Source organism: Homo sapiens, chromosome 15, assembly GCF_000001405.40.
Source record: "Homo sapiens chromosome 15, GRCh38.p14 Primary Assembly".
NCBI classification, from domain to species: Eukaryota; Metazoa; Chordata; class Mammalia; order Primates; family Hominidae; genus Homo; species Homo sapiens.
In genome coordinates, this window is record NC_000015.10 from 73,571,575 (window position 1) to 73,587,818 (window position 16,244).

General features: G+C 43.3%; 1 protein-coding gene across 8 annotated transcripts in view, besides 1 other annotated feature; it reads right to left on the reverse strand.

Moving 5' to 3' along the window:
• Nucleotides 1–16,244, reverse strand: part of NPTN (neuroplastin) — a 73,376-nt gene that overhangs the window by 11,561 nt on the left and 45,571 nt on the right. For all 8 annotated transcript variants that reach the window (XR_007064440.1, XR_007064439.1, XR_007064438.1 and 5 more), the window contains 2 exons: nt 15,950–16,044; nt 2,088–2,221 (listed from right to left, as the gene is read on the reverse strand). Coding sequence is in view for 5 of the 8 variants with exons in the window: in NM_001161364.2 (NP_001154836.1) it covers nt 2,088–2,221; nt 15,950–16,044 (229 nt within the window). In the remaining 3 variants the exon portion in view is untranslated. The remainder of the gene's footprint in view (nt 1–2,087; nt 2,222–15,949; nt 16,045–16,244) is intronic.
• Nucleotides 15,883–16,048: a silencer, noted in NCBI's record as "fragment chr15:73879798-73879963 (GRCh37/hg19 assembly coordinates)". NCBI's record gives its function as "represses an EF-1alpha promoter that drives an FKBP-Casp9 reporter gene in an ReSE screen in K562 erythroleukemia cells {active_cell/tissue: K562}" and the evidence as "EXISTENCE:reporter gene assay evidence [ECO:0000049][PMID:32094911]".

Below are 16,244 nucleotides of genomic sequence, written 5' to 3' on the forward strand. Positions count from 1 at the left end.
GCTGATCAAACAGGGAGGAGCAGTGCAGGCAGGGATTCGCATGGGTGTGAAGGCAGAGGTGCAAGAGTGCACAGGCAGAGGTCGGGACTCAGCGGGATGGCTCACTGCACTCAGCTCATGAGATCCCGGCAGGGAAAAAACAGACTCATGTGTCTTTACCCTGCAACAACTAAAGCACAATCAGAAATAGGAGAGAAAAAGGGGAATATTATCCTGGAAATGATTCTAGATATGGCATACAATCTTGTCAGCATTTGAGTGCAGGTACATCTGAAATGGGGAACTCGTAAGCTTTTAAAACAGCTAGTCTGTGATGCCTCAAGCTTCATCTTTCAGATTAAAACACATACTGCGTTAATTCCAACCTGCTTTGGCAAAAGCTCAAGGGCACTCCTTCCCAGTGACCAGCAGAGAGAAGTGGACATTTCCTCTCCAGTGCCTTAGAAAGTTCAGTGTCTTGTAAAAAAGACTCAGCATCTTCACCTCGGCAATCCTCATCCTGCTCCTCGTTAACGGGTCTCTGAAATCATCGCTGATGTTGGAGTCATTATCACAACTCAACATTTTATTATCAAGATGTCATGAAGTAGGAAGAATAATGGACTTGAAATTTAAAAAAACTAGATACAACTCTTGGTTTTGCCACTAATTTATCTTGGCTACTATGGAACCCTTCCAAAGAAGATGGATTAATGATCTTTAAGGTCCTTTTGGATTCTGAAGACTGATAATCAAAGAGGATCCATGGGATCAGAGGAACGCTTGACACGCTCTCTGACAGAAAAGGTAATGGGTCAACAATCATAATGAGAGAGAAAGTGAGGTTCTAAAGCTCTGACTCTCCAAACAACATCATGAATCATCCCACTGATCGGAAAAGATGTTCTCTTTGACATTTTCTGGGGCAAATACCGTCAGGTTCCCAATGTCTAAGGCTGCCAAGGCTGCCCTTGGGCCTCCTCAGGTTGCCCCGATTCCTTATCAGTATGTTCTGTGTTGCAGGAATGTACTAGTAATTGCCCTCAGTACCTTGGGCCTCCTCAGGTTGCCCCAATTCCTTATCAGTATGTTCTGTGTTGCAGGAATGTACTAATAATTGCCCTCAGTACCTTGTTTCCTACTAAAAAAACAAGGCAGGTTCTCTAAGACCACTTCAAAAACAGTATTTTCTTCAGGATAAATGGACGAGAATTAGGCTCGGTTCTTTCAGTGTCCTATCCTGAAGGCAAGTGATATGGTTTGGATTTTGTCTTCACCCCAATTTCATGGTGAATTATAATCCCCAGTGTTGGAGGAGGGGCCTTGTGGGAGGTGACAGGATCATGGGGGCGGATATCCCCTTTGCTGTTCTCCTGACAGTGAATTCTCATGAGACCCGGTTGTTTAAAAGTGTGTAGCATCTCCCTCCTTCACTCTCTTCCTCCTCTCCAGCCACCTAGGACCTGCCTGCTTCCCCTTCACCTTCCACCATGATTCTAAGTTTCTCTACTTACAGGGATCACTTAAGAAGAAATAAACAGCAACTGCAGTCTAAAAAATAGGTAAGTTTCAAGGATCAAAGAAGCCTGAGGGGGAGGCTAATTCTTTGGATTTAGCTTTATCTTAACTATATTACCTGTCAATGCCTCACCTTCAGTTACAGTAATCTGAAAGCAATAAAACTCAAAGCAGGCCAGATGTCACTCTGTTGTCTAAGATAGGAAAGATCATCTTTCCTGTGTTTCCTGAGGCCTCCCCGGCAATGCTTCCTGTAAAGCCTGTGGAATCATGAGCCAATTAAACCTTTTTTCTTTATAAATTACCCAGTCTCTGGAAGTTCTTTAGAGCAAAGTGAGAATGGACTAATACAGTGAGCAATCTAATCTCTTACCAGAGGGACAGCTTTAACAAATCACGTACAGGGATTTTTGTGCTGGAAGAGACTGTCAATGACCTCTTGATTCATGCTGTAAACCGTGACTCTAGAAAGGGTGACCCTCGCCATGCACACATCCGAGGATACAGCTACTACAGTAACTGACCCACGTGTCTGGACCTCTGCAGGGAAAACTCCAGCAACCAGAGACCCGGGCCTGCCTCCTACTCACCATGGGCATCCCGTTCTCCTTCTTGCGCCATATCCAGTCTGGGTGGGGGTAGCCAACTGACTTGCAATACATAGTGGCATCCTGCCCTTCATTCTTGTTCTCACTCCGTTTATGGCCAGTGATGTCAGGAGCGGCTGTGAGAAAGCGTTAGACGCAGTTACCACGGAAGTCTACTCCAAACAGGATACAAAGGCCCCACCTTCTGGCTCAGAGCCCTGCTTGTAATGTAGTCAGTCTTTATGCTTACTGTCATACTCAGCTTTGATGAAGAGCATTTCAGGTCAGAATAGGGTAAAGGGACCAAACCCATCCTCTACCCCCCACCCGCTAAAGATGCCCAGGCAGATACCAGGGTTACTAATATATGAGGCTCTACTAATGTAGGTGATTCTCCAACCTACTGGAAAAGGATGCAGGTCCAACTGCCCTCAATTAAGCCTACCTTTAAAGAAAATGCAAACAAACACTATTATCTCTTCTATCGGCCCAAGTTTTTTCTTAAAACACCTGCATGAACAACAGTTATGCATCCTGTCAAATATCACACATTCCCTTAAGGAAATGAGATTCTGAGATAAAACAACTACAATCAAGTCCTATTACAAGGTATGTAAAAACAATGAATGCTTGGAGAAGCTACTCAATAAGTAACAATGACCAAGGCTCTCCCAGGAAAGAGGGAATCCAGAAACTGGTCTTCACAAGGAGGAAGAAAGGAATGAACAGGAAATTCAACCAGTGTCCCAAGAGATTTTTTTTTTAATTGAATGACTGATTGAGATGGGGTCTTATTCTATCGTCCAGGCTGGAGCATAGTGGCATGATCGCTGCTCACTGTAGCCTCAAGCTCCTGGGCTTAAGTGATCCTCAGCTCCCGAGTAACTAGAACTACAGGCACATGCCACTACACCTGGTTAATTTTTAAATTTCTTGTATAGACGGGGTCTTACTATATTGCCCAGGCTGGTCCTGAACTCCTGACCTCAAGTGATCCTCTCACCTTGGCCTCCCAAAGTGCTGGGATTACAGGTGTTTGCATCTGCACCTGGCCCTAAGACCTTTTATTAACAACTTAAGAATCTGCCTTGGACACCTGATTTGCAACAGTTTCCTAGACTGAACCCAATATAGAAGGAATTTCAAGACATGCTAGAGGCCGTTGGTCTTCTCTATTTATAGGGATCACTTAGGAAGAAATAAACAACAACTGTAGTCTAAAAATTAAGTAAGTTTCAAGGATCAAAGAAGCCTGAGATAAAAGCGAATTCTTTGGATTTAGCTTTATTTTATCATAACTATATTACCCGCCAATGCTTCACCAGTTACAGTAATTTTTTTGGAGACAGAGTTTCGCTCTTGTCGCCTAGGCTGGAGTGCAATGGTGTGATCTTGGCTCACTGCAACCTCCAACTCCTGGTTTCAAGCGATTCTCCTGCCTCAGCCTCCTGAGTAGCTGGGATTACAGGCATGTGCCACCATGCCCAGCTAATTTTGTATTTTTAGGAGAGATGGGGTTTCATCATGTTGGTCAGGCTGGTCTTGAACTCCTGACCTCAGGTGTTCTGCCCGCGTTGGCCTCCCAAAGTGTTGGGATTACAGGCGTGAGCCATCACGCCCGGCTAATTTTGTATTTTTAGGAGAGATGGGGTTTCACCATGTTGGTCAGGCCGGTCTCGAACTGCTAACCTCAGATGATCTGCCCGCCTCAGCCTCCCAAAGTGTTGGGATTACAGGCGTGAGCCACCACGCCCAGCCGGGTTACAGTAATCTGAGAGCAATAAAAGTCAAAGCAGGCTGGATGTCACTCTGTTATCCAAGATAGGAAAGAGAATCGATATGCCTTGGTCCCAATTCCAGTTTTGTTGGTTCTTTCGTTATTCTGGGCTTTGCTGCTACAGCCATTATCAAATGGAGACACCTCGTGTCCTTGTCTACCTCCCAGTGTTCTTGGGTAGATGAACAGGATGTCAAAACATTCATCTTGAGACTGTAGAAGCCTGTACTATTGCATTGGGGCTAATCTCATGTTCCACCTTTGACTGGCTTGGTTTTTCTTGGCTTAAAAACAATGCAAAGTCCTACTAGTCACAGAATGTGCTTCCCAGGCACAAACTGGTTTTAGACTCACCCTCCAGAGGCACCTGGATGGGCATGCACTGGGCAAGGCCCCAAGCTGTCTCTGTAACCAGTCCCTGCCAAACTGAGGCCTGCTGAGTAACACTCAGTGTGAAGTGTTTTCTAGATAGTACGTTTCAAAGGAAATATCTTTTTTTTTCCAGGCAAAGTTTCTTACTACAGAAGGAAGTGGTCAACCTGGCTCTATCTCATTCCCACAAAGCCGAACTTTTCCCACAGCTACTCAGTCACTTCTTAGGCTGACTGTTCAACCTGGTCACCCTTTCTCAGAGCTTACTTCAGTCCATAAATTCCAAGCACTCCAAGGAGCAGGCTCCATAGCCACACAGGACCCAGCATGCCCGAAGGGTTACCATGTGCTGCTCCAGCCAGCCATGCTTCATTCATCTGGCAAACACCTGCTGAGCACCCACTACACACCAGATATGTCAGACTGGTTGGGTAAGGCTTTTGTGATGAGATGAACTTTAGCATGGTCGTGAAGAAAATAAGGGAGTATATACAAGGTTCCTGACCTGTGGTAAGTAAAGAATGTATTTTTTCTTTTTTGAGATGCAGTCTCTCTCTGTTGGCCAGGCTGGAATGCAGTGGTGTGATCTTGGTTCACTGCAACCTCCACCTTCCGGGTTCAAGTGATTCTTCTGCCTTGGCCTCCCAAGTAGCTAGGATTATAGGCATCTGCCACCATACCTGGCTAATTTTTGTATTTTTAGTAGAGATGGGGTTTCACCATGTTGGCCAGGCTGGTCTCAAACTACTGACCTGAAGTGATCCACCCGCCTCAGCCTCCCAAAGTGCTGGGTTTACAGGTGTGAGCCACTGCGCCTGGCTAAGAATGTCACTTTCTAACAGGCCAGGAACCCCAAGTTATCTTGGGACCTCAAGAGGAGAGGAATTTGCCCAACTCGTAAGTATTTGAGGGTACAAACCCATGGCTGGGCTCGACTTTTTAACAGTCTTATCTGAGATTCTTCATGGAACAGAGTTCTGTCAAAGCCAATTTAAAAAGCCTAAGTGAAAAATAACTACTCTTGCTGCACTTTATGCAAATAATCAGGCCAAGTACAGTAAGAATAAGTTTATTTTATAAATAAATCAGTTCTATCATGATTTGTTTTTAATAAAAATGGGGACTGGAGAGAGAAAAATTACGCTTCAAAAGAAAAACTATAGTATACTGTTGTTAGCTGTTCTTGAGGTTTTTTTCTGCAGTTTAGATGAAATTCTAAATTCTTTGTGGGTTGGAAGTCCCCAAACTAATGCTTTCAAATCTTTGCTTTTAAAATTGGGAATTGTACTCCTCATCCTAGGACTCGTTATTTACCTTACAGTAGGCTGTTCACTTAAACACTGTAGTAAAACTATAGATGAGAGTAGTAATGTTTTTCCCACACAAGCCTTGGAATCCTAGCCAGGCCTGCATGAGTACACTCAGACAGTTACAAGGTGGTTCCACTCTTCTCACCTTGGGGTTCACTCCCATTCCCACAATGTCCCCTATCAGCAGGAAGAAGCCAGAGTGATCTACGGCCTTTTGCCATCTTCAGAGCCTACACCTTAAGATTAAGGTGTTATAAAACCCAAAGGGAGAGACTGAAACCGTCTTTGCAAAATTATGACTGAGACAGGGAAAGAGATCGAACTTAACTGCTTCATCTTACTTCTAACCTCCAAGCTGTCCTTGTTCACTCCTGGGCGCAGGCTGAACTAACTTTGGGAGAAACTTATAGTTTAAACAAAGATGGTAACAACCCTTTCCCAAAACAGACTCCCTTCTTGCCTGGGGACTAGATTGCCTTTGTAGAACTAACATTAGACACAAGATTAGAAATTATGGTTTAGGAGTCATGCAGCTGGAAGCTACAAGATTCTGACCCTCCCTAAACTGCTCCTAAGATCAGTGCTTGAGATATTTTGCAGACCTTGCACTTGATGGATCAGCTGGCCCCACCCAGATCAATAAACTGGCTCATCTGATCCTGTGACCCCCACCCAGGAACTGACTGAGCACAAGAAGTCAGCTCTGACTCCCTGTGATTTCAGCTCTAACCAATCAGCACTCCTGGCTCACTGGCTTCCCCCAACCACCAAGTTATCCTTAGAAACTCTGCTCCCTGAATGCTAGGGGAGACTGATTTGAATAGTAATAAAACTCTGGTCTCCCAGCAAAAAAGAAAAGAAGGGAGTAGGTCACACATATCTGTAGGAAGAACACTCTAGGTCGAGGGAAATGCAAAGGTCTTGAGGTAGGATTGTGCTTGTTATGTACAAGGAACAGCAAAGAGGATTTGATTGGAACATAGTAAGCAAGGAGAAGAGAGCAGGAAATAAAAGAAATCAGAGAGACTGGGGACCCAGATTAGACAGGACTTTGTAGGCCACCATAATGACTTTGGCAGTTACAGTGAGTCAGCCGGGAAGCCACTGGTGAATACTATGTGCAGGTATAAAATGATGGGTGTGTTTTAACAGGCTCCCCGTGGCTACTATGTGAACAAGAACTGCAGAGACAGCAGTGGAAGCAAGACCAAGCAGGAGGCTATTACAGTAACCCAGGCAAGGGAGAGGCTGGTTTCCATGGGGGCAGTAACAGTGGAAATAAGGAGAAATGGTGAGATTCCAGGTATATTTTGGAGGTTGAGTTAACATATTTGCTAATAGATTGAATGTGGACTGTGAGAAGAAAAGGAGTCAAGGATGACACCAAGGTTTTGGCCTGTGTAACTGTGAGAATGGAGTTGACAGTTACTAAGATGAGGAAAATTGCAAAAGAATAAGAGTGTTTTTTGTTTGCTTAATCTTAGTTTGTTTTGTTAAAAGACTGAGAAACAGTGGTGGTAAAAACCAGAAGGTCAAGGTCTAGAACATGGTAAGTTTAAGATACTTATTTAACATATGGCTAGGTGTGGTGGCTGGCTAGGTGCAGTGGCTCACACCTGTAATCCCAGCACTTTGGGAGGCCGAGGTGGGCGGATCACCTAAGGTCAGGAGTTTGAGACCAGCCTGGCCAACCTGGTGAAACCTTGTCTCTACAAAAATACAAAAATTAGCCAGGCATAATGGCAGGTGCCTGTAATCCCAGCTACTTGGGAGGCTGAGGCGAGAGAATCGCTTGAACCTGGGAGGTGGAGGCTGCAGTAAGCCAAGATCATGCCATTGCACTCCAGCCTGGGCGACAGAGTAAGATTCTGTCTCAAAAAAAAAAAAAAAAAAAAGATACTTATTTAACATCCAAGTATTGGGAAGGCTGAGGCAGGCGGATCACGAGGTCAGGAGATCAAGACCATCCTGGCTAACACGGTGAAACCCCGTCTCTACTAAAAATACAAAAATTAGCCAGGCACGGTGGCGGGAGCCTGTTGTCCCAGCTACTCGGGAGGCTGAGGCAGGAGAATGGCACGAACCCAAGAGGTGGAGCTTGCAGTAAGCTGAGATCGCGCCACTGCACTCCAGCCTGGGCGACAGAGGGGACTCCGTCTCAAAAAAAAAAAAAAAAATCCAAGTAAAAATATCAAGTAGGCAGTAAAAGAGCAAGTCTGGAGTTCAGGGAAATGTTCTATGTTAGGGATATAAATTTCAGGTATCAGCTTATATGTGGTACATTTTCCCATTTTCATTCTCCTTTGACCCAAAGAAGACACCCACTTTGGGCCAGTTATTGGCAATAGTACTATGAATTCAGTACTATCAGCTTTTGCTTTGGGGACTCATTTCCAAGACTGTACATTAGAACCATCTAGAATGCTAAAAGTTGAGTCGGCAGCTGCACTGCCTCTGAAAAGTCACTATTCTGAAAGGACCCAGACTTAAAGGTCAAGATTGGGAAGGGGGCTAGGAACAGTCTTCACTCCTGCCTTGGTGTGTGGGAGGAGGAGAACACCACTTCCCCTCTTTATTTGACACTCTGGGAAAGGGTGGCCGCCATACTGGGGGACACTCAACCAACCAATGGAGAGGGGCACACTGAGGAACTGAGGGCCACTGCCAAGAGCCATGTGAGTGAGCTGTACACATGGAGTGGATCCTCCAGCTCTGGTCAAGCTTTCAGATGACTGCAGCTCCAGCCAACAGCTTGACCAAAATCTCAGGAAAGACCCCAAGCCAGAACACCCCACTAAGCTGCTCCCTAATTACTGACTCAGGAAAACTGTGAGGTGGTAAGTGCTTAGCATTTTATGCCACTAAGTTTTGGGGTAATTTATTATGCATTTTTGTATGTATAGATACAAATATACCAATTGATGAAGCAGACATTACCCCACTTTTTAAAATTGGAAAACTCAAGTTTGGAAAAGTAATTTAATGTTTAAATGGTAAAGCCAGAATCCAAGTTCAGGGTTGTGTGAATCCAGAGACTATGCTTTTTGTACTTTAACATACTGAGGGGAAAATAAACTAGAATAGAGTCCACAAAAATAAAAATATACAACATGCGAGGAGGGAGACCATTAGGACAAACACCTAATGCATGTGGGGCTTAAAACCTAGATGATGGGTTGATAGGTGCAGCAAATCACCATGGCACAAGTATACCTATGTAACAAACCTGCACGTTCTGTACATATATCTCAGAACTTAAAGTAAAACTTTAAAATATATATATTATATATATAATATATATATAATATATATATAATATATATAATATATATGTATATATACAAAATATATTTATATATACATAAATATATATATACATAAATATATATATTATATATAATATAGTTATATATGTATATATTTGTTATATATGTATATATGTATATACATGTTATATATGTATATACATGTTATATATGTATATATGTATATACATGTTATATATGTATATATGTATATACATGTTATATATGTATATATTTGTTACCATGTATTACTGGTAACTGCAGAGCAAAGAGCCCAAAAGTTATCTTTCCTTGTAGATGTGCTAAAACACCTTAGACCCAAAGCAGAACCAATTTACCTTAGACCCAAAGCAGAACCTATTTACCTGTCAGACTTTACTCTGTATTAGTGTAGCGTAAAGAGCAGAGCTTCAGACCTGAAAACATGGAAATCTGGACTTGATCTCGACTCTATTACTCACCAACTGAGTAACCCAGGGCAGATCACGTCAAATACTCTGAGTTTTAGTATTGTAAAATAAGAGTAATACTCACATGTTTCAGAGGTCTTGTGAGGATTAAATTACATCTCCATACTAATCTAGAACATGGTTGGAACTCAGGGCCAAGCATTTAAACATCAGTCAGGGAAAGGAAAGGCTAAGGCTTCGACTCTGTCATTAGTTCTAAGAAATCAAAGATACTGATTACTATGTGCTCTCCCCATTTGCTGATACAAACAGGACTTTTGTTTGTAGCTCTAAAAATAAGGTTTAATCATGTCAGATACTGATAAATTATCTGATTAATGGCCTATTTTAGTGCCTCACCTTCTATGGTCTTGCCTTTTAATAAGGGACTGCTTAACCAGATTTTGTTGGTCTAAAAGCAGGTCTGAGCGTCTAACTAAGCCTTCATATCCTGAAGGAGACAGAGACAATACTCTGTGCTTCTCTTTACCCTCTTAGGGGGGCACAGACTAAGTGGCAAGAGCAAGGGGTAGGAGCAACAAAGTAACAAAAAGACCCTTAGAAGAGAGTTCTGATCCACTCAGGAATTCATTCATTCTCTGGCCTTGTTAGTCACATATTCTAGTCACACTGGTTAATGGCTATCCCTCCAGTATCCTAATAAATAGCAACACAGGGGTCCCAAAAGAGTCTCTGTTACCCAACAGCACCTGAACCAATTTCATTATCTGGGCAGTCTGGGACTCTGGCTGAGGACGAATGCATGTTCCTTAGTACCCTCTGCTACCCAACCTGATGCACTTAGAGCAAAGGGTCAGCTTCTAGGCCAGGCTGGATGCTGTAGAAACTGTCAACTCAGGCCATGGAGGCACGTTTCAGATGATATTAAATAAAGTTAACAGAACAGACTTAAGAAAGTGATCAAGATATAAGGCCTCTTTACAGACACTGCTTATATGGTGCTCTTTTTTTTTTTCTTTTTAGACAGAGTTTCGCTCTGTCGCCCAGGCTGGAGTGCAGCAGCGCGATCTCAGCTCACTGCAACCTCCGCCTCCCGGGTTCAAGCGATTCTTCTGCCTCGGCCTCCTGAGTAGCTGGGACCACAGGCGTGCACCGCCACACTCGGCTAATTTTTGTATTTTTTAGTAGAGACGGGGTTTCACCACCTTGGTCAGGCTGGTCTGGTCTTGAACTCCCGACCTTGTGATCTGCCCGTCTTGGCCTCCCAAAGTGCTGGGATTACAGGCTCAAGACACTGCGCCTGGCCTTGGTGCTCACTTTTTAAAGCATGTTCATAACCCAGCAACTTATCTTCAAAGAAAATCTATCCTTAAAGGTGTTGTCAATGACTAGCCTGTTTCCAAGTAAACACAGAGATTCTGCATTTACGGTCTATTTGCTTCCTTCATGCAACCTATCAAATCCCAAAAACACCTATCTTTGTGGTGGACAAAATGAACACTTGGCTGACGGCAGTGGGAGAGTGAAGATTTACTGCTTGCCAAGAGCTATGCCCAAGAAGGAATATGAGATCAGTCAAGACAGAAGCAAGAAGGATGCAGGCTTTTGGCTCAACAAGCATTCTCCACCCACAGCAGATTTATCATTGGTTGTGAACACTAGAGCAGTCTAGGACAGGTGCCTCCTTCTGCAGGTGAAACCACTGTGTAAGAGGTGTAGAAGTTTCCTTGAAGACAGTGACCCTCAACCCTGGCTGTACACCATAATCACCTGATGTGCCTTAATCTGATGCCCGAGCCACAGTTCATATGAATTAAATCAAAATTGAGAACCACTGTTCTATCACCTTTCCTGGCACCAGTACTAGAGGTCAGATACCCCCCACAAGACAGGGAGATGAGTGGGTAGAGGTGTGGGAGTCATTCAGGTGACTTTTCCAAGCTGAGAAACTGACAAATTGAAATTTTCCAATAACACTAGGAAAATGGGCTTGGAAATCACTTCCTGCAATAACCAACCTCTCCCAGCCTACATCCTTCTCCCGTGCTGGATGCTTCCTGCCCTCAAACATCGGACTCCAAGTTCTTCAGTTTTGAGACTCGGACTGGCTCTCCTTGCTCCTCAAGCGTGCAGGCAGCCTATTGTGGGACCTTGTGACCATGTAAGTTAATACTTAACAAACCCCCATATATGTATCTCCTGTAAGTTCTGTCCCTCTAGGAAACACTAATACACAACCTCTCATCTCTGTCCACATAAGGGAACCTAGACCGTCAAGAGCCACACAGAGCAAAGGAACCTTAAAGATGAGCTATCTCATTCTACTTCATCATGCACTTGAGGAAGCTGAGACCCAGAGAAGGGAAGTGACTGGTCAGAGTCACTGTGTTTAATGGCAGGACCACGATTAGAACACATTTCTCCTAACTCTTAGTCAAGGCCTTTTAAATGTTACATGCTCAACAGGGCACCATGGCTTGGTGCTTAGGAGCACAGGATCTAGTGCTAGGGTGCCTGAGTGAGAACCCTAGCTTCACCAGTTAACTCTGTGACACTGGGCCAGTTATTCCCTCAAGCCTCAATTTTCTCAACTGGAAAGTAGAGATAATAATTGCACTTATCCCATAGAGTTGTGGAGACTAAAGGAGAGAAAAGGAACAAATAATGCACCTAGCACAGTGCCTGACCCACAGTAAGTGTGCAATAATGTTAGCTATTCTTATTCTTATTAAGGAAGGTCAGGGTGGCACCCTGAAGAGAGGAAAAGAAAGTGCAGGTGTGGTTTTTGGGCTGAAGTTAATGTTCAAAATGCCCTAGCAGCTTCATGATATTATTATGCCTTCAAAGACTTCTCAAGTCACAGCAATTCTGAGTCAGAAGCAGGTTGCTTTGACATCAGTTCTCACCTAAAGGATGTCACAACCTCTACGCATCCTCACCTATCACACTAGCTGCCTTTCCTGACTGTCAGTGAAGAAAGGACGGTGGAGATGCTGTGCATGCTGAAAGTGCCGTGTGAATGTGGTCTGGGTATCACTGTTCTTCACAGTGATCTTCATCCCCACCACACTGCCTTAGCCAGTCTGGATTAATATGTCACTTGTAATGCACCATGACAGAATAGGAAATAGGAAGGCAGGGCAAGGCCACTTATAGAAATCCTAACCTTTATTCTTAATAGTCAAATATAGAGAAAGCTAAGGAGTAGGGAGGAGAAAAACAAGATCAATCCTGGCTCTCTCAGCAGCCAAAAGACTGAAACTCATTTGAAATGTCCAATAAGGAGGGTGAGATGAACCTAGTAAGACAACAGGCTCAACCCCCTTCTGGGCTGGGAAGTGCCTCTCACAAGAGGCAGTGACATATTTGTTGCAAAGGATTGGATGACCAACAAAATCCTCTTCCAAAAACAGCAATAAAATTCAAACTCCTTCTTTCTTGTACTAATCAAAATGGTTAAGGGATAAGGATACTGCTTGGGAGTCATGAGAGCAATTTTTTTCTTTTTACTTTGTAAATGATACCGGGATTTTTAATTTGCTTTTTTGTGAGCACTTTTTAAAAAAAAATTTTAGAAAAGGAAGGAAGGAGAAGAGGGAAGGAGTAAGGGGCAAAAGGTTGAAAAATTATAGGGGTAGAAAATTTCAACATCTATTCATTCATGTATTCTCTGTAAGGTGTGCACTCTGGTACCACAGCCTCTGAAGAGTCACAAGCTGAGGACAGAGATGCCCTCCTCAGTATTAGCTGAGTGGATCCCAGGGAGGTGGGGCTTTGGGCTCCATAAGGCCTCATCACTGCTGTCTTCCCTCTCCTGACCGGCCCTGCTCCATCTTCCTTCTCTCCATCTGTGCAGATCACCTGCCGAATACCTGAGAAACGTAACCCTCAACAGTATCTTCCTGTTTATACTATGCCACATTGTGTCCTTTAAAAAAAAAAAAAAAAAAAAGGGAGAGAATTTAAAAACCTGCTCCAGATACAAGGCCTCCCCCACTACATGTAGATACTCCTATCCTCCAAATTCCTTTCTTGACGGTGATCTACAGGCTTTGGTTAAAAAACATGATCATCTTGGCTCTGTTCCCAGGCCACTGTCCCTCTGTCTGGTTCCTTCAGCCTTCTTTTCTTTTGTAGACCACAGATAACTCAAGATTTGGTAATCTGACAGATAATGCCCAGTCCCTGGCTAGGCTAAATGCTTCACTTCCCACAGTGCTGAGCCCAAACAACACCCCAGAAATGTTCTGAAAGACAGGAAAAGGCAGATGGGAAAGAAACGGCTGAGAGCAGAATAGATGATGAAGAAATATATATGCATGGTCTGAATTACATGCCCTGTTGTGCTGATTCAGTTAAAGCCACACAGGAAGATTCTCAGAGACTCCTTTCAGCCAAGAGGCCACTGATGTTCTCGGAACCTCTCTGTTCTCAAGTACAACCACCTCTTAACTCTCTATTACTCAGCAGATTTTTCAGATCACTACAGCTATAAAAAGATAACTGTCTCTTATCCCCACCCCGGAGACACTAAGGGAATAAAATGAGAGTTTCTATTAAAATGTTTTGGGAACATACACACATGTACTACTCTAAATGCAAGGCAGTTTTTCTACCCCAACCACAATTGGAGGTTAGCTTAGAATATGATCCTGGGCCTATGGCAAACCTTTTAAAACTTATACAGAAAAAGCGAAGTGTTCATAGTCTTTACCATACTCAACTATCCATAACTGGGAAGACAAGACATTAAACATTGAACTCTTTTCTATCCAGGTGTTGGGGGGAGAAGGAAAGACAGACTAGAATTCTTTTACAAATTTTCTTGAGAGATAAACACACAGTATATCTATCCAAGGTGGTCCAGAATATGGTTTAAGATATTTATAAAACAGAATTCCCTCAAGGTCTACTTCTGTAAAACCAAGATACTACCACCTGCCTCACCTTCCACACAGGGCTATTTGTACAGTGAGAATCCAACAGTGCACAGTAAGCACCTTGAATATAACACGTAAGTTGTAACTTGCTCTGAAAATACTCCTGGCCTACAGCGTCCTATTCTCTGACCCTGGCAACTGCTGCTTCCTACCTGCTGAAGAGACTATGAAGAAAGATGCCTCTAGGGCCACTAAACCCCACCTTCGTAAGCAGCCAAACAAATGGAAAAACCATTTTGATTTCCACTCTTGAAAGTGCTTTTTAGAAATCATTAACTCAAAGTCACTAACGATTACAGTTAGTTAGGACTAATTATCTCTTAGGCTTGGGGAGCACAATGAACTAGACACCCCACTCTTTCCTTCCCTCACCCACCCTGCCTCTCTGCACTTGGACTTTGTGCTGAAGGCTCAGCCAGGAATGCTGCACGGCCTCAAGTCTCACAGAGAGGTCTCACCACAAATTTGGCTCACCTAGGCTGGGGAAAGCCCTCACTGGCTTAGAGAAAATGTTTTCCCACATCCTTCATTTTCATGTTGAATACATGTGGCATTCTTCTAAAATGGGTAGAAACCAAGGTTTCTCCAAGAAAAGCCACTAAAAAAATCAAATGCTAAGTTCTCTGGCCCAGTGTGACCTGTAACTGTAACTCCTTTAGGCATTCAGAATTAAACTGGCAGCTGGAGGAGGCAGTGGCCATCCCTACATCAACTCACAAGTTCAGGGCTGTGTCACCAAGACATTACTTTCTTTTGATAACACCATATAATGGAAACTTTGAATGTGTCTAAGCCTTTCTTGAATCTGCATTTTTAACCTTCCAAATATTTTAGGAAGACCTGAATACCTATTATACGGGCCCTTCCTTCTCCTAAATTTGTCCTTCTAGCTTCCAGGGATAACTCTATGGATTTAAAGAACAAGTCTGTGTCCTTACTAAGCAAAATGAGAAAGACTGAAAATAAAAAATCTGACCTCAAACAGTAGCCCTGCCTTCTCATGATAATTTTGTGAGAGTAGAAAAAACATTGGATTGGGGGTCAAGACCTGTGTTCTAGACTAGCTCTGCCACAAACTCACTGTGTGACAGACAGCTAGAGGTTTCACTTTTCTGGGTCTCAGATGCTTCTTTGAAATAACTTAGGAAAGCTGAAATTTATGATGTTGGGTAGCTCCAACTTTTATAGTTCTGTTTGCCCATCTTGGAACTTTCTGCTACTGCCTCATCTTTCAAAGGTTTCTATTAAAATTCTAATGAATTATCCACAAACAGCTGATGTCCACTCTGCACACTGTACTTTCCCCTCAATCCTGCTGGCCCACAGAAGACCTATGTAATCATACTTGTAAGGCACTGATCTAAGAGCTTTACAAAGCCTTGGGCCATAGGAGCTGCCAGCATTCAAACATTTTTGACATATAAAAACAGCAATTTTATGCAGTTCAATCTATTAACTTATTTAATCCTCCTAAATAACCCATGATGTAAGTACTGCTGATATCCTCATTTTAAAAATGAGGAAAAGGAAGCAAAGAGAAGTTAGTAAACCACCAAGGCCACACAGCTAGTAGATGATGGGGTTTGAATTTAAACCCAGGCAGCCACGATCCTGAGCCTGTGGCCTAACCACAACATTATATTGTGTCTCGACATGGAAAGAAGAGGAGCTTGAAGACTGGGACTCCAGACCAAGGTACTGTCTTGGAAGGAGAGTGAGAGGCTCACACCACAGCCTCTGCTGGGTTGTACCTTTCACTTCAATGGTGGCGTTTGCTTTAGGAGCGCTGACAAAGTGATATACGCAGTGGTATTCGCCTGAATCCTCAGCTCTCGGCTTATTGATCCTGCAGAGATGAGAAGAAAAACCAAGTGAGGAAACTGGGAACGGTCAAAATATAAAACAGAAGGAGAATCAAAGGGGCAATCAGGGATCCTGCTCTCCGAACCCTTAATGCAACTCACCTCCTTCTAACTAAAAGCAAAAATTCCTCTCTGTGCATCCTAAAACATTAATGTCTTGCTCTTTTCCAGGTGCCAAGAATAC